The sequence below is a fragment of the Homo sapiens genome, chromosome 7 (genome assembly GCF_000001405.40).
Source record: "Homo sapiens chromosome 7, GRCh38.p14 Primary Assembly".
Taxonomy (NCBI): Eukaryota; Metazoa; Chordata; class Mammalia; order Primates; family Hominidae; genus Homo; species Homo sapiens.
In genome coordinates, this window is record NC_000007.14 from 95,035,508 (window position 1) to 95,053,748 (window position 18,241).

General features: G+C 37.1%; 1 protein-coding gene and 1 long non-coding RNA gene across 45 annotated transcripts in view; one reads left to right on the forward strand and one right to left on the reverse strand.

The window, feature by feature from the left end:
- Positions 1-18,241, forward strand: part of PPP1R9A (protein phosphatase 1 regulatory subunit 9A) — a 389,180-nt gene that overhangs the window by 128,272 nt on the left and 242,667 nt on the right. The window lies entirely within an intron of this gene.
- The window catches only part of PPP1R9A-AS1 (PPP1R9A antisense RNA 1), a 178,641-nt gene continuing 160,584 nt past the window's right edge, over positions 185-18,241 (reverse strand). For both annotated transcript variants that reach the window (NR_183323.1, NR_183324.1), the window contains one exon: positions 185-1,274. This is a non-coding gene — a long non-coding RNA (PPP1R9A antisense RNA 1). The remainder of the gene's footprint in view (positions 1,275-18,241) is intronic.

The window sequence follows — 18,241 nt, forward strand, 5'->3', positions numbered from 1 at the left end:
TTCATTTAACATTTTGCTGTGATTTTATTGGTTTTGGAATCAAGAACCAAAATCTGAATATAGTTCACTATTCATATAACAAGATTTAAGGATGTTTAGTTTTTAAAAGTTCTTTTGGTCCATATTAGATTTATTTCTGTTTGACTAATAAGTAGATGGAGGAAAAAGAATCAAACACTGCATATGGTTTCTGGAGGTATGTTTTAATAACAAAATCAAGTCTGGTCAATGAAAGCTTTCAGAAAATGGTTTTATAAAAAAACCTTGCATTCTTTTTAGATCAAGAGCAGTTTTCCCCCAAACCTTAATGTCAGTCGTACGATTTTCTTCTTCTTATTTTCTGTTCTCCATTTTTGCTTATTTGTTGAAAACATTTTTTAGCTATGTGGAGACTTGCCTGAATGCTGTCTCCTATTTAGGTAGAGGCCAATAAGATGATAGCTGGAAAAGCTTCGATTGTCTATCATGAAGACCAGGATGGAATAAAAGAAAAATAAGTAATGCAGTTGTGATATTCTGCAGTATACTTCGGCTCTCTTAATAAGATCATGCTGTAAGCAGTGTCTTTTAACTGAAGCTTGCAACCTGTTGGTGGGTCATGAAGTAGATTTTAAACATTGCAATTAGCATTTTATTTAATGAATAGACATAGAATAGCATGGAAATTTAAGAGTGACTATAGACTTAAGAGAATTGTAAATAGGACAAGTAAAATAGAAAAATTAATGTATCACACATAAAAAGGGGATTTTCATGAAACTTTAGTATTAGTTCCACAGACACACAGATACATCAAATAGCGTGTGAGTCAGGATTTAGTCCAGGAAACAAAAATTACATTTATTTAAAACAGGAAGATATTTAATACAAGAGAATTTGATGCTTATAAAATAGTTGGAAGATCTAAGATATGAGTTCTAGGCTGTTCTTGCTGGAATGACTTTAGGGAGTACAGAAATGATCCACCCAAGAGCCAGTTATAGCTAATATGGTTGCTGCAACTGTGTGTTATGAATATACTCCTCTTGCTGCAATCCAGTAATCAGGAAGCCAGAGTTACACTGCTAATGCTGTAGTCACAATTGCCTCTTGACACCCAGAAAATTGGAAAGTGCCACAAAAAGCACTGCTAACACCTTGCATTTCTTTATCTTTGTTTGCAGTTAAAACAGTCGAAAGGATGTAGGAAAATGGCTTCTGCTTCGCTTCTGTGTTCATTATCTTAGATGAATTGCTTCTAATTTGCAGAAGCGAATTCTCATCCAGAATTTGAACTGCAAGAGAAATGTTTTATTATTGACCTCTCCAGTGATCTAGACTGAGGGTAGGAGGGCAGATAAGAGAATCCATACACACTATCCAACTCAGTTCATCAATTTGATTTCTCACCACTCACACTCACTCTTCCATTCATGCTTAAGTTTCCAAATGGCAACACTAGTGGTGAAAACATGCTGCTGTCGTTCATACACAGGAAAAGTAGTTCACTTCTCCTCCAAAGTGAGTGAGAGCAAAGTCACTGTACCCAGTGGAGAGACTTTTCTATCCCATAGAGATACATACTGAAGTATTCGCATATTGTCTGGGATTTGCTTTAAAGTACTCTGGAAAAAAAAGAGGGGGAGGGAGAGATGAGACTTCATGGCAGAAATGTTGATAATTATTGAGAATCAATTATGAGCATATAGTGGTCCATTATTTTTCTCTGTTTTTGTATATGTTGGAAAATTTCCATTATTAGTAATGGAAATTTTATATATAAATGTATCTGCTTTTCTTTAACTGAAAAAAATTGAGATAACTATACAAAGAATATTGATTCTCCTTGTTTTCTGAAATTTTTAAATTAGTGATTACATTCATAAATATAAAGCATTGTCACTCTTGGCCTGTTATTTTAAAATGAAAATGTCACCTGGAGTTATGATAATAATTATTAGGACCACATGTGTTATGACCAAAAGTGATTTCATATCTATTTTAATGAATTAGGATTAGAGGAGTTAAATAATCAACTTAGTACATCTGAAAGGTTCATGGCTGAATCTTCTTACTCTAAATACCAGGTTTGCACTATTGTAATATCCTTAAGTTGCTCTCTATCATTAGCACCTTTGAATATGCTCTATTCATACATTTTCTTTCCTTAGCCCTTGTTGAGAATACAAATCTGAAAGAATGCTGTGTGTGTGCGTGCGCGCGTGTGTGTGTGCGTGCACACACGTGCACTTTAACACTGGATTAATATAAAAATTAGATATTGAGTCTCCCAGTTTCAGTTCTGACATTTTAAGATCAAGGAAGTTGTTAATCTTGGCTAGGTGTGGTGGCTCACACCTGTAATCCCAACACTTTGGGAGGCCAAGGCAGGAGGATTGTTTGAGCCCAGGAGTTTGAGACCAGCCTGGGCAATATAGGGAAACCTTGTTCTACAAAATAATTTAAAAAAAAAAAAAAAGCTAAGTGTGGTGGCAAGTGCCTGTAATCCCAGCTACTCAGAAGGCTGAGGTAGGAAGATTGCTTGAGCCCAGGAGTTTGAGGCTGTAGTGAGCTGTGATTGTGTCATTGCACTCCAGCCTGGGTGACAGAACAAGACCATGTCTTAAAAAAAAAAAAGACGTTATTATTCACATCGTTAGAACAAGAAAAAACTGGACAAACTGAAAAACTAGTGACTTTTCTTGGACCCTGAAGCAGATATTTGAGGTTACAGGGCAAACCCCCTCCCTGAAATCTGGAGACAGGTGCCTCCAGAGAGTCTCAGCCAAGATCTATTTACCTGGAGAAGAAGCTGCTAGAGTCATAAACTGGTAGGAACAGTTTAAATGGCAATTTTGATAAATTGCTGAAGACTAAGTATTCAGCAGGGTGTGACTTAGAAACTCCTACCTACCTCCCCACCAGTGTTCATGGGCTTTACCTATAAGGAACCCCACCAGTTTCTCACAGATGATCTGAGAATGATTCCCTCATGGCCCTGGTGGGAGAAGTGGACAAGTAATCATCCTAAAATGTACCCAGAGCCTTTTTTTAATAAAATGTCCACACTCCAGGGTGAAAGACTGTATCAGAGCCTTGTGCTGCAGCCATGGGAGTAGGATATTACTGCCTGGGCCCTGTAGCCTTCCTGCTTCACTGAAGGAATTGGAAAAAACAATTCATGAAAAAACTTGTAAAGGTCACAGGCTAGAGACAAAGACTCACTAAAAGACATTCTGTAATCTCTGATTAAACAGAGGTTTAGTATAATCAGAGATTATAGAATGCTACTCCTTGCCCCCATTTCACTATCACACTGGCACGTCTCCAGTTTAATAACAGCAGATGACAGCTGAAAGAACTTCAAGACACAAATTCCCTCCGAGGAAGAGTACTTAAAGAAACCCATAGTTAAAAGGGAAGATGAAAACAAGGGCACTGCAGAAATTTTATACCTCTAGCACCCTACAGCAAACGTTAGACAGCCCAACACATAGCCAGCAGAACATAAATCCTCATACCAAAAGCCCATGTACCTCATTCCTATTTCCCATTATAACATGTCCACTTTCAACAAAAACTTATAAGGCATGCCAAAGGCAAGAAAGAACACAGTCTGAAGAGACAAAGCCATCATCAGAGCCCTTATCATAGATGACACAGAGGTTGGAATTATAAGACAGGCAGTTTAAAATAACTGATTAATATATTAAGGACTCTAATTTAAGAAGTAGACAACATGCAAGCACAGATGGGCTATGTAAGAATGGAGTCGAAAACTCGAATAAAAAATTAAAAGGAGGCCAGGCACAGTGGCTTATGCCTGTAATCCAGCACTTTGGGAGGCTGAGGCAGGCAGATCACTTCAGGTCAGGAGTTCAAGACCAGGCTGGCCAACATGGTGAAACCCCGTCTCTACTTTTTAGTTGGGCTTGGTGGTGTGTGCCTATAATCCCAGCTACTCTGGAGGCTGAGGCAGGAGAATTGCTTGAATCTGGGAGGCAGAGGTTGCAGTGAGCCAAGATCATGCCACTGTACTCCAGCCTGGGCGACAGAGGGAGACTACATCTGAAAAAAAAAAAAAAGTATTAAAAGGAAATGCTATAAATCAAAGACACTGTAACAGAAATGAAGAATGCCTTCAGTGTATCAATAGACTTGATAAGGATGAGGAAAGAATAAATAAGTTTGAAAATAGGTCAATAGAAGCTTCCCAAATTGAAATGTAAGGGAAAAAAGGAATGAAGGAAAAAAAAATCAGAATAGAGCATCTAAGAACTGTGGATCAATTTTTAAAGGTGTGACATACCCATAATTGGAATAACAGGAGGAGAAAGAGATAAAGGAGAAAAATATTTGAAGTGATAATGGCTAACAACTTTCTAAAATTAATGACAGATAGAAACCCACAAACACAGGAAGCTCAGAGAATACCAGGTAGCATAAATATCAAAACAAACAAAAACCAAATACCAACAGCCCACACCTGAGCACATCATATTCAAACTGCCAAAAATCAAAGACGGAGAAGATCTTGAAATAAGAGAGACGGTGGAAGATACATCTATCCTATAGAGGAACGAGGATCAGAAAGGTGGATTTTGAAGCAAGGTTGCATATATTCTATGACATGTAATTGTACCTTCAATTTCACATAGATGTTTTAAACACCTACCATATAGCATGTTTTATGAAAGATAATACAGATAAATAAGACCTAATAACTTCTCTCTCTCCCCCAGTCAAATAACTAAAATCTAGTAGAAGAAAGTAAAAAAAGTGTATAAGTAAAAATATAACACAGATTTTAAAGTATCCTAGGGAGGTACCAAAAAAAAAAAGTGCTATAAGGGATTTAGAGGAGGAAAAGATAGCATGGCTGAGTCAGTAACGGCTCCATGCATGATGATGTTAAGGAGTTATTTTACTTATAAGCAGCCAGCATCCTTTGAGACCAGCCTGGGCAATATAGGGAAACCTTGTTTCTACAAAAAAAAATTAAAAATAATACAGGATATTATTTTAATAATAATAATACAGGATGTACTCCTGTTGCCCACAGGAGTTGACTCAGAACTTGACCTTTGTTATTTTCCTCTCGTTTCTTGAAATTTGTATCTTCTCCCTTACTCAGGTTATTTTGCTTTCTGTTTTACTGAGAAAATAGTGATCATAGAGAACTTAGGCCATCTTTATCTCCATCCTTTCCCTTGTGCCACATCTAGATTTCACTAGGCACTTTTCATTCTCTGAAGAAATTGTTTAATCTACTCTCGAATTTTAGTTACTGGCTTGTCTTGCATGATTATTTTGATGATCTGTTGAATTTTTTCCCCAATACTGCCCTCCCAGCATAATATGCATTCTCCATGAAAGAGATTAATCCTCTCTCTCCCTGCTGAAAATCCTCTACAGTTCTCACCTTGGCCTCCAGAATAAAATCTACCTCTTTAGCCTGTCTTTCAAGGGCCTTCTTATTCTGCCCCAAACTATAGTTTGTGATTTCTGAGAGGAGATATCCCATGAAATATTTTCCAAATTTATTTGACAGAAATATCCACTTTGTATCTCCTGGGTCTCTAATGTTTTGCAGAGTACAGTTTGGGAAATGCTGGGATTGAAGGAAGAACGTGAACATTTGGGAAAGGGAACAGGAGGGAAATGCATGACTAAGGTCATCTTAGTAGTAATGAGCATGGAGAATAGCCCAGCTGCATATGAGGTTATGACATACATTAGTAGACGAATCTCAAAATGCTGATTTCTTCTCCAAGGTTTTTAGAATGATCCCCTGCGTCTGTTTGTAATCTGCAGAGACTGTCATGCAGAAAAATAGGAGGAAAAACCTTTCCGCTCTGAATCTCAGGAGAAAAAAAGATTTTAATCATGTTTCTGGAAACTTGCATTGGTAGAATTTAAAGTCTTCCAGAGAGCTCAGTTTTATTTCATTTGTTATCATATTTCATCTTGACAATGTAAGTGTAGATTGTTTGACAAATTTAAGAAGAATGTGTTTTCATTTCTTATGCATTTTTGTGCAGCTTTTCTATAGCCTCCCTAAATACTATTTGTATTTATCCAATTGTCACTCTAAAATATGAATGTATACTTGTTAATGTTCCTATTGCAAAGGCTGTGCTTCGTTCAGTTTTCTTTTATTTGTAGTTTCTCGTAACTAGAAATCTCATGCTTTTCTGAAATAGGAATAATTGAATATTTATTGACATGTCCTTAAGGAGTACTATATCACTCTGAAGTGACTTATGGCACATCAAAAATATTAACTATACATTATTACTATACATTATTTTACTTATTATTATAATTTAAAATTTCATTATTTCCTGAAAATTTTTTCAGTGAGACTTCCAGAACCTGTGCTGGAAGGATAAATTTGAGATCTATTTGCACACTAGGTGGTGCAAATAGAAGTTACAACACTTTACATGGCACCTTTATTTAATCAGAGGTCAAAATACATGGCCAGTAATGTAGTACATCCTTGGGAACAGGACATTATTTGCTTCACTCACTGGTGGGGAGAGGGTCCTACCATCCATCTCGAGGCCCTTGGGCAATAGGTTTTACTTGGGAAGGTGATGTCAGGGAAGGCAGGTAGCCAGGTGTGCTTTTACTGCCCTCAGGGAGTTCCTAGTCTACTTGTGCATGAAATAGACCTATATGTAAGCATTTAAGATGATACCAAAAATATTCCGTTTTCCAGGAGGTGTGGAGTTGTGAGTAGACAAGGAAGAATAAGCATTTAAGGAATACGTGATACTCATGCATCATGTGCAGTGCAATGGGTCTTTTTCTGAAATTTTGTCTACACAACCTAAAATTCCTACTTATGCTACTATTTTTAAAAACTGATATGTTTTATTAGAAGAGTCAGATGACATGTCTGTTTAGAAGTAGAACTTTTTATATCAAATGAATTTAAGAATGCTATCTTATGACCTTGTTTTTGCATGAAGGCATCTATACCATTTTTCATCTCATCAAGTGAAAATACCAAATTTTGGTAAAGTTGTACTTCATTTATGATGCCTTGAAAAATAAACCATACACGTGATTCATTTATTACACATTTAGGCTGTTGATAGTGTGTCAGTTTTATTATGCAAAATAATATCTTTCTGTTCAACACACCTGCTCTTCACAGGTGTATATTAATGAGGACTTCATGATGTGTTGATCTAAAGTAAAACTTCTTGTCGATGTTGAATTTAGTCAATAGGTTATTTTTATGCTCAAGAAAAGGTGAAAGATATCATCAAGCTGACAAAATACAATGGTTTTTGTATCATCTACATGTTAAAATAAATTTCATGTTTTGAAATAATCCACACATTGAAATAAACAGAGTTTAGCTGATGACTCTCACTTTGAAATTTTATTTTTCTGGTACATCTAAAAGTATATTTTTGTTAAAAAAAAAAGTCCCTTTAAGACAGATTTTAGGTACTCCATTTGCTACACAATTTCATTAACTTAGAACCATATTTTTAAAATGTTTTCTCCACACAAGTAAGATACATATGGAAAATTTGCTACTATGCAGTCCCTGTAGCATATATAAAAAATGAGGCTGCTAAATTAGGTCTTTTCTTCTTTACCTTCTTTAAACCTACGTTATTCTTTTGTGATATTTCCATCACTTAAGGGAATGAGATTTCAAATTAAATTCTAGAGAGACTTAAATTCCCCTTGAGTTTTCTTTTACTTGAGGTATGCCTATGCTATGGGGTAATTAGTGGTACCTCAGTAGGATAATATAAGCAGAGTGGTAAGACATATCTGCCTTGAATAACTGTGTGAGAAAAAACAGGCACATTTCACTAAATACCCTTGCTTGTGCTTTCTATAAAATTAAAATATTTTGGACAGTAATAACATACAACACAAATGAATAAAAACTTGTACATGATGTTTTGTGTGGAGTCCTGATAAGTAAGCAACAAGGAGGAAGGGCCCCAGATGGGGAAGAACAGTGAACAACTGTTCTGAGAGATGGCTAATCACAAACAACACAAGGGCACAGTGATCTCGACCTACTTCTGCAGGCACAGTGACCTTGTTCTCCAGGTACCCCCTCTAGCATGACCCTGTAAAACTTCCCTCCAGCCCCTGCATCTTTGCGGACAGCCCCCTTCTCTGCTGTGCTGCCTGTCTTACAACATATTTTCATACTTTCTCTAATAAATCTGCTTTTCTTTATCTACTATTGTCTTGTTAAATTTCCTTACTGCCTGTGCCACCGGGCCCAGATAGTCACTAGCTGGCAACATTTAGGGAATTCTAACATCAAATTCCTCTAACGATAAACTGTTAAAACATCATCTCTAGACCCAGTCTTAACTTTCCTCTTACTGGCTACTCCATGCCATTTGTTTTGTACTCTGATTCTTCCAGTTCTGTCCTGAAATACCTAAGCCTCTTGTTCATTAATTTTCTTAGGGTTTAAAGTACATTAATATCAGAAATAAGATTAGTGGATCACTCCTTAGTTTGATCAAGATTTAAATCCTTCTTATTGCAGAAGCACAACAATACATTGGAGACTGCTTCAAAACTCAACTGAAAAAGAGAAAAATCAAAAGAAGCCTTAGGCTAGGTGAACAGGAAATGAGGCAGTTACAGTGTTTTAGTTGTTTGTCCTTTATTTCTGGAGGGGGTCTGCCAGTGGCTGTTCTAACTGCTCCCTCTTGCCTCAGATCTTGAAAGCCACACTTTATCCATCATTCTCACCTATTTACTAAAAAGAATGAGCCACCTGAAGGGACTTCCCTCTACTTTCTCCTCCTCTACCTTAACTGTGGCTCTTTATACTCTTTTCCTCCTGTGTTTCCTCTGCTTTATGTAAGTAATTGAAGTTTAAAAGAAAAAAAATATGAACATTTTTGCCCATGCAGTATCATTTGCAAGATCAGGAATATTATCTCAAGTTTCTAACTTGAAAGGGTCTAATGAGTCTAAAAGAGAAAAAAGCTGAAAATGTCTTGAAAAGTAAGGGACTATACAATCAATAAGCTGATATTATTAACTATTTTTTTCAGGATTTTTTTTTTTTTTTTTGAGACAGTCTTGCTCTGTCATGCAGGCTGGAGTTAAGTGACACAATCAAACCTCACTGCAGCCTCAAACTCCTGGGCTCAAGCAGTTCTTCCAACTCTGCCTCCCAAAGTGTTGAGATTACAGGTGTGAGCCACCACACCCAGCTAATTAAATATATATATATATATAATATATATATATTTTTTTGTAGAGATGGAGGTGTCTCACTGTGTGGTCCAACCTGGTCTGGAATGCCTGCGCTCAAGTGGTCCTCCCTCCTCAGCCTCTCAAAGTGCTGGGATTTACAGAGTGAGCCACTGTGCCTGACCTCAGTCTTTGATTTTGACATAGTTTGACCCAGTTTTTGTTAGTGGAATAGGTTTGGTTTTAAAAATTTAAGTGGTTTCAGTAAAGGGCAATAAAAATGATGAAAATAATAGAAAATGGGTTCTAGGACTAGAGTTGAAAAGGCTTGGGTCTTCATTTTGTCCTTAGAAAATTAGGTAAGATGATTGACTCCTTTTAACTCCTTCAAGCATGTGAAATAATATATTTGTTAGTGGTGGCAAATATCCGAGTTACTGGCAGCAAAGCTATACGAATCTATGGCAACCTCAATTCTTGCTTCCTAAGAAGAAATAATTCGACCGAGGGGCATGCAGTGGAAAAAGAGACCAAGGCAAGTTTCCGAGCAGGAATGGAAGTTTATTAAAATGCTTTAGAGCAGGAAACAAAGGAAAGTACACTTGGAAGAGACCTAAACGGGCACTTTGGAGGTCAATGGTGGCGTATGACCTTTTGATTTGGAGTTTTATATGTTGGCATCCTTACAGGGCCTTGTTTACCTTTTCCCATCTCTTAGGGTGGGCTGCCCGCATGCGCAGTGGCCTGCTAACCCTTGGGAGGTGAGCATGCGCAGTGTGTTTAAGAAGTTGTACACATGCTCACTTGAGGCTTTCTTCCCTTTTTCAGTGGAATGCCCCTGGAAGGTCATACTCTGCCATTTTGTCTCTTAATGCACATGCCCAAGCCTACTTGCCCAATTCCTGAGCTGCCAGTTACCAATTTCAAGTGTTTTTATCTATTGTGAAATTGCCTCTTTTTGGCGCCTGTGACCAATGATCATTTTTAGAGAAGTGGTGTGTCAACTGTGGGACCATCACCTGATGGTTGCCTGACATTTCTAGTGGGCGAGGGGAGCCCTCTTCTGCCCTGCTCATGCCTAACTACCTACTGTATGGTTGCCTGACATTTCTAGTAGGCGAGGGGAGCCCTCTTCTGCCCTGCTCATGCCTAACTACCTACTGTAATATATTGATGCAACAAAAATCAAATGGAGAAAATGGGCTTATAATGGAGCAACAGAAAATAGTTAATTATAATTTCTGAATTTAACGGGTTATTAAACACATACCAGGCTACTAAAGAAGGCTGTATAATTATCAGTGTTGAGTATCATTAAGATTAGGTAGTATTTCTTTTCTTTTGTATAATTATCAGTGTTGAGTATCATTAAGATTAGGTAGTATTTCTTTTCTTTTTTTTTTTTTTTTGAGACAGAGTCTCGCTCTGCCGCCCAGGCTGGAGTGCAATGGCACAATCTCGGTTCCCTGCAACCTCTGACTCCTGGGTTCAAGCAATTCTCCTGCCTCAGCCTCCCGAGTAGCTGGGATTACAGGAGTATGTGCCACCACGCCTGGCTAATTTTTGTATTTTTAGTACAGATGGGGTTTCACCATGTTGACAGGCTGGTCCTGAACTTCAAGTTCTTGGTCTTGGACTTCAAGTGATCCATCTGCCTCAGTCTACCAAAAGGCTGTGATTACCAGCATGAGCCACCATACCTGGTCAAGATTAGGTAGTATTTCTATTAAATGTTTCAGATATTGTATTTTCTAAAAGCAGATAACCCGATGGCCTTTGGCATTGCCTAAAACCTTTTGGACTCTGCTATTTGATAACACGGAATTGTGGAATATCATATGAAACTCTTATTTTTCTCTTCTGTTGTATTTAAATTCTTTCTTAATATGCACATTTTCTAAGAAGATACTTTTTAAGAGAGAAAAGATAGAGGCCTGCATGGGTAATACTTGGATTGAGCCCAGGGAATTCTCTGTCATGCATTTTAGCTATGGGGACATCAGCTGCTACTTATTTGCTACTGATTTCTCACTTCCTTCTTTTTCATACCAGCTTTCAATTGCTTGTTTCTAAACAATGCGTTATCTTTGATTAAATTAGACCAGTAATAAAAGCTCGTGAATCCTTGAATGAAAAGCACACATTCTGGTCTTCTTGACCCTGCATTCCAAAATTATTCTCTAATGTTTATAACCACCTTGGTAGATAAAGTCTTCTTTTTCCTTCTCAGAGAAACGGTTTGCAGCCAACTGTGACCACTAAGCTAAATCTATTGCGGTGTTTGTAATTGAAAGCTTTTTGTATGTCTTGGTTGTGGTGCTGGGCTCTCTCCTGGATTTGTTGATTTCAACAATGGAGTAATTCAGGAGAACAGAGAGGGACCAGTTAGAGCTCTCCAGGTTCTGTGTAACACACACCATAGTTGGCAGCAGCTGAGATTTGCTTCATATTTATCTCTAAGGGCGTTGTGGTGGTTCCAGCCCCAAGATTAAAGTCAGCATGTCATCTCTTTTTATTATTTCGAATGGCTTTTTACTTTTATAGTATACATGAATAAATTTTATCAGCAGGGACTATTAAGCAGTGTTTCGGCACAAATGCTTTAGAGTACATTTTTTAGTTGATGTGTACTATGCCAGTTATAGAGAGCTGTCAATACAGTTTCAGTCTTCAGTGACAAAATCTATCATTTTCTAACTTGCTAGAAACCTTTCTTTTTAGAAATTCACTTTTTGAGACATAATGGCTTCAATTCTCCAGGATCTTTTTCTGTCTGTTTTGAATGAGCTTATTGTTTATTCACAGTAAAGAATGTTTCTGATACTGCTTTGTTGTAAATATAGTTGAGTGCCCTAGCTGACATCCTTGTTGAGCCCAAAAAGACTGTTTGAGTACACTTTTTGTCAGGTGGTACCTTTGCTGAAACTGAAGAAGGAGATTTTGAAGAATTTTCTTGATTTCACCAGATTATTTTAATGGCCTTAAATTTTCCATTTAAATTTGCAATAACTTTTGCCAGTTATAGAGAGTGATTCATTGGGGACCACTTTATCTTTTGCATTGTGGTATGAGGCACAGATGTAAAGGGGACACATTCTTGGGGTAGCTTTTTCTATTAGGCCTTTGCAGTTGGAAGTACTCCATATAGAAAGTGTTTGAAGTTTTTACAAAAATGTATGCTGTAGGCTGAACAGATAGAACAAACTATAAGTATAAAAACATGCTGGTTAATAAATCTTTCCTGTTTTTCCTTAGACAGAATTCAGTTTTATTTGTATTATTAAACAAGAGTAAGACTTTAATTATACTTTCCCAAGTAGAATATTTATTTTAAAAAGGAATAGCTGTTAACAGAATAAGAAAACTTCATTATATTTTTAATTACTCATCTAATTTTATGTAAAATGAAATGTACATTAAATGGTAGTACATAAAGTCCAGCATAAAACTGCCTATAGTACAAATGTTGATATTTATTTCTTGTTCACTAGGATGACAAAAATTGAGAGCATTTTCTCCTTAATAGTTAGCATCTATTAAGTCTAATTTATGGCTTCTTGTAATTCATTCATTTATCATTTTTAAGTATTCATTCAACAAAAAGTTACATAACAAAGTTTTAAGATAAACAGGATCAGATCATACTTAGCCTCAAAGAAGTAATCTGAGAAGTTTGGATATGAAAGATAAGGAAATACTATATGATGAGTACAATAATAGAAATATTATTATAGCAGTGTCTTGGAAGAGCAAGTAATTGGCTTGAGTAGTTAAGGGTAAATTTTCTGGAGAAATTAACGTATATACTGGTATTTTTTTTTAACCATGACAGCGTTTTGTTGTTGTTGTTGTTGTTGTTGTTGTTGTTGTTTTGAGACAGAGTCTCATTCTGTTGCCCAGGCTGGAGTGCAGTGGCGCGATCTTGGCTCACTGCAGCCTTCGCCTCCTGGGTTCAATCTATTCTCCTGCCTCAACCTCCCAAGTAGCTGGGATTACAGGTGCCTGCCACCACGCCGAGCTAATTTTTTGTATTTTTTTTAGTAGAAACGGGGTTTCACTATGCCGGTCAGGCTGGTCTCAAACTCCTGACCTTGTGATCTGCGCACCTCAGCCTCCGAAAGTGCTGGGATTACAGGTGTGAGCCACCATGCCCGGCCCTATGACAGCTATTATTTTTAATTACTGTGTTTTTATTGATATAACCATTTATATAAGTGTATCTGTTATTTGAAATTATTTCAGTTATATCTATAAATTTACAAATACTGAGAAGTAAAAATGACTTGGGCATTTCAAAATCATGTTCTACAATGTATTGAACAGTTGAAAAATAAAGCAAAAGAGAATAAAACAAACACAAACAAGCACAGGGAGAAGTCTGGTCAGACCCTGGGCTATCATGCTTCTGTTTGTGTGACCACTGGGTGCTTGGTTGTAGCATCCCAAACCCACACCATGCCGGAAAGAGATATGCATAGGAGTATGTAGAAGGTCACATGTGGAATAAACTTCATCAACAGTCACTTCCAGGCTCCATATATTAAAATTTCAGGGATTAAGATCAGAAGGAATTGTTCCAATTTGTTTATTTTGGAGAAGAAAGGTCAATTTTTACCTCCAGGGGATAAACCACTAATTTGCGAAGAGATTGGGTTAAAAAAAGAGGACCCCACCTACTTTTAAAAATAGGCTTTACTTTTTAGAGCAGTTTTAGGTTCATAGTAAGATTGAGTGGAAAGTAAAGAGAGGCTCCATACATACCCTGGCTCCTTCCCAGCCTCTCCTACTGTTAAGATCCTGCCTTACTGTGGTACATTTGTTTCAATCAGTGACACTACTTTGACACATCATTATCACCTAAAGTCCATAGTTTACATTGGGGTTCACTGTTAGTGTTGTATTTTTCATGGGTTTTGATATATGTATAATGACATATATCCACATCATGCACTGTGGTATTATTTTCTGGCCTTAAAAATCCACTGTGCTCTGCCAATTAATCCCTTCCTCCTGCCAATTGCTAATGTTTTTACTGTCTCCCTACATTTTGCCCTTTTCAGAATGTACTATAGTTGGAATTTTGTAGTATACAACCTTTCCAGATTGACTTCTTTCACTTAAAATGCATCTCAGTTTCCTCCCTGTCTTTTCATGGCTTGATAGATCATTTCTTTTTAGCTCTGAATAGTATTCCATTTTCTGAGTATACCACAGTTTATCCATTCACCTGTGGGTGCTTTCAAGTTTTGACAGTTATGAATAAGCTGGTATAAACATCTGTGTGCAGATTTTTGTGTGCACATAATTTTTCAGTTCATCTGGATAAATACCAAGGAGTGTGATTGCTGGATTGTATGGTTAGAGTATATTTAGTTTTGTACAAAATTGCCAAACTGTCTTCCAAAGTGGCTGTACCAGCAATGATGAGAGCTCCTGTTGTATCACGTCCTTAGCAGCATTCGGTATTGTTAGTATTTTGGATTTTGGCTATTCTAATACATGTAGTGGGTATCATGTTGTTGTTTTAATTTGCAGTTCCCTAATGACATATGTGGAGCATCTTTTCATCTACTTATTTACCATGTGTATATCTTCATTGGTGGGATATATCTGTTTAATCAAATTGATTGTTTTGTTATTGTTGGCTTTTAAGAATTTTTAAATTACTTTAGATAATACTCCTTTATCTGATACCTCTTGTGATAGGCATATCTGAAGGATGTGTTGCCATCCTTCAAGATAAGAAATATAAACAAGAGGCTGGGCTTGGTGGCTCACACCTATAATCCCAGCACTTTGGGAGTCTGAGGCAGGTGGATCACTTGAGGTCAAGAGTTCCAAACCAGCCTGACCAATGTGGTGATACCCTGTCTCTAATAAAAATGCAAAATTAGCTGGGCGTGGTGATGCATGCCTGTAATTCCAGCTACATGGGAGGCGAGGCAGGAGAATCGCTTGAACCTGGGAGGTGGAGGTTGCAGTGAGCCAAGATTGTGCCATTGCACTCCACCCTGGGCAACAAGAGTTAAACTCCATCTCAAAAGAAATAAATACAAGCAAGAAAGCAGGCTATAGGAGAAGATAGTTTCATTATAAGTGTGTTGAATTTAAGGCATTTTAATTTTATAAGTAGGTAAGGATATAGACATTTTTAAGCATTTATATCATAGAATTTTATAATATTGCATCATTAAATTTTCTTCTTCCTGCTGGATGTCTCTAAATGGGGGTCCCATCAGTGCCAAACTTGTTTACTGGCACAAGTAAATTTTAATAAGTCCAGCTTATCAATTCTTTCTTTCATGGTTTGTGCATTTGTGTTATATCTAAAAAGTCATCACTATCCAGAGTTATCTAGATTTTCTCCTACATTGTCTTCTAGGAGTTTTATAGTTTTGCATCTTACATTTTTACATTTAAGTCTGTGATTCATTTTTAGTTAATTCTTGGGAAGGGTTATGGTCTGTGTCTTGGTTCTTTTTTTTTATTGATTCTTTTTTTTTTCTTTCGAATAGGGATGTCCAGTTATTCCAGGACAATTTGTTGAAAAGACTGTCTTTTCTCCATTGTATTGTCTTTGCTCTTTTGTCAAAGATCAGTCAAGCATATTTATATGGGTGTGTTTCTAGGCTATCGTGTACAATTGATCTGTTTGTCTTCTTTCACCAGTACCTCACTGTCTTGATTACTGTAGTTTTATAGTAAGTCTTGAAGTTAGGTAGTGTTGGTCCTCCAACTTTGTTCTTCTCCTTCAGTATTGTGTTAATTATTCTGGGTCTTTTGTTTCTCCATATAAACTTTAGAACCAGTTTATCAATATCCACAAAATAACTTTCTGAGATTTTGATTGGGATTATGTTGAATCCATATATTTAATTGGGAAAAATTGGCATCTTTATACATGTCATTTCAGAAAGAGGAAATAGTATGTATAAATTTACTGAGGTATGAAAAAGTATACTATTTTCTGGGGTTACCCAGTTTGCTACTATTGGAACATACCATTCAGAGTTAGAAGATAAAACTGGAGAGGTATTTAGAAACTCAATTACAAAAGATCCTTTATGCCAAAACAACAAAAAAAGTCAGCCATGACCATCACTATTTATTGAACATCTACAGAACCAGATGCATTAAAATTTTTTTTTTATTTTAATTTTTTTTTTTTTTTTGAGACAGAGTCTCTCTCTCACTCAGGCTGCAGTGCAGTGGTGTGATCTCAGCTCACTGCAACCTCCTCCTCCAGGGTTCAAGTGATTCTCCTGCCTCAGCTTACTGAGTAGCTGGGATTACAGGTGCACACCACCATGCCCAGCTAACTTTTGTATTTTTAGTAGAGATGGGGTTTCGCCGAGTTGGCCAGGTTGGTCTTAAACTCCTGACCTCAAGTGATTCACCTGTCTCGGCCTCCCAAAGTGCTGGGATTATAGGCAGGAGCCACTGTGCCTGGCCCAGATGAATTTTATAGTCATTGCCTCTCTTTACTATAAGGAAATAATAAACAGTCAGTAATGGGCTTAATGTCAGGGAGACTACGAACTGGCTTGAAATTTAGGAAGATTGTTTTGCCAAACTTGTTAATTGGTAAAAAGCAAGAATGAGAAAGAAGGCAAGATAAGAAGCTATTTTAGTAGTTCATATAAGAGATTATGATGGCCTGAAGCAAGACTGTGATAGAGGGAATGGAGAAAAGTGGAAGGATTGAAGAGTTAGTTAGAAGGTGGCAGGAATCTAATGGTTGAAAAGGAGGAGTTAAGAATCGTACCCAGGTTTCTGGCTGGGGAGCCCCGTGGATTGTGTTGCCATCCTTCAAGATAAGAAATACAAGCAAGAAAGCAGGCTATAGGAGAAGATAGTGAGTTTCATGACAGATGTGTTGAATTGTAGGCATTTTAATTTTTGAAGTAGGTAAGGATAAGGACATGCTTAAGAATTTATGTCATACAATTTTATAATGTTAAGTCATTAAATTTTCTTCTTCCTGCTGGATATCTCTAAATGGGAGGGCCTTGTCAGTTCCTCATCTTCTCTCCAAAGCCAGATTTTTCTTCTGTGTTCCCAGTTTTAGTTATTGGCATCAACCAATAGTCAGGAACTTAGGACAGCAATCTTGAAGTCATTTTCAATGTTCTGTTTCCCTCACCTTATGTGTCCGGTCAGTTGCCAAGTGCCATCAATTCTAAGTCTGCAATATCTCTTTTACCTCTGCTCATTTCTCTTGTCGTTGTGTCTGCTCTATATCATGCTCTCATCATTTCTACCCTGGAAAAGCTCAAAAGCCTGGGATTCTCTGCATGCCTCTAGTCTCCCCTTCTTCCAGCCTATTATTGACTAAGCCCCCAGAACAATCTTCCTGTGTGATAAAGCATGCTGCCTTCATGGAGCCTGTTTCATTTCTTTGTATTAATAGTAGCATTGGTGGGACGACTTCCCTCCATCCTCACTCAGGGGAAGTTTCATTAAAATGTTGTTCACAGTTAGGGTCTCTCTGTGTTGAGATGGATGTGAAGAAACTCATTGTTAAAAGAAAAGCAAATAAAGTGATTAAAGTTTTCATAAAATCAAATCTGAAGGAATGTAATAGAAATGGGTTATGGCTTTCATCAGTAAGGTGTTGGTATGTGCTTGTCAGTTTTTTACAAAGCAGAGGGAACAGGGAATAGAGTGAATGTGGAACTTGAACCTCACACTAAGGAAGTTTTTGTATAATTTTCCCACAATGCAACTGGCTCTGGGGAAATTTCATTCATGTACACAAAAGAAGTATTGCAGCAAAATTCAATAAGGTTTTAAGTAAGTTTCTTAACACCAATAAAAATAAAAATGCTAGATAACAGGAATAACAATATTGGAAACTGCGTAGAAAGCCTATTCGTAGATGTAATTTTACTTTTGAACTATGATGGGAGAGGGGGATGAAAGTGAAGTCCAATACTCAATTTTGGAGAGGGTGCTTACAACTTGGATTCCTAATCCTGAAGAGAAGGATGGCAGCTCAATACAGAATCTGTTTGTGAGGCACTTGTTACATTGCTGTATGTGGTGGTCTGTAAAGTAGGCT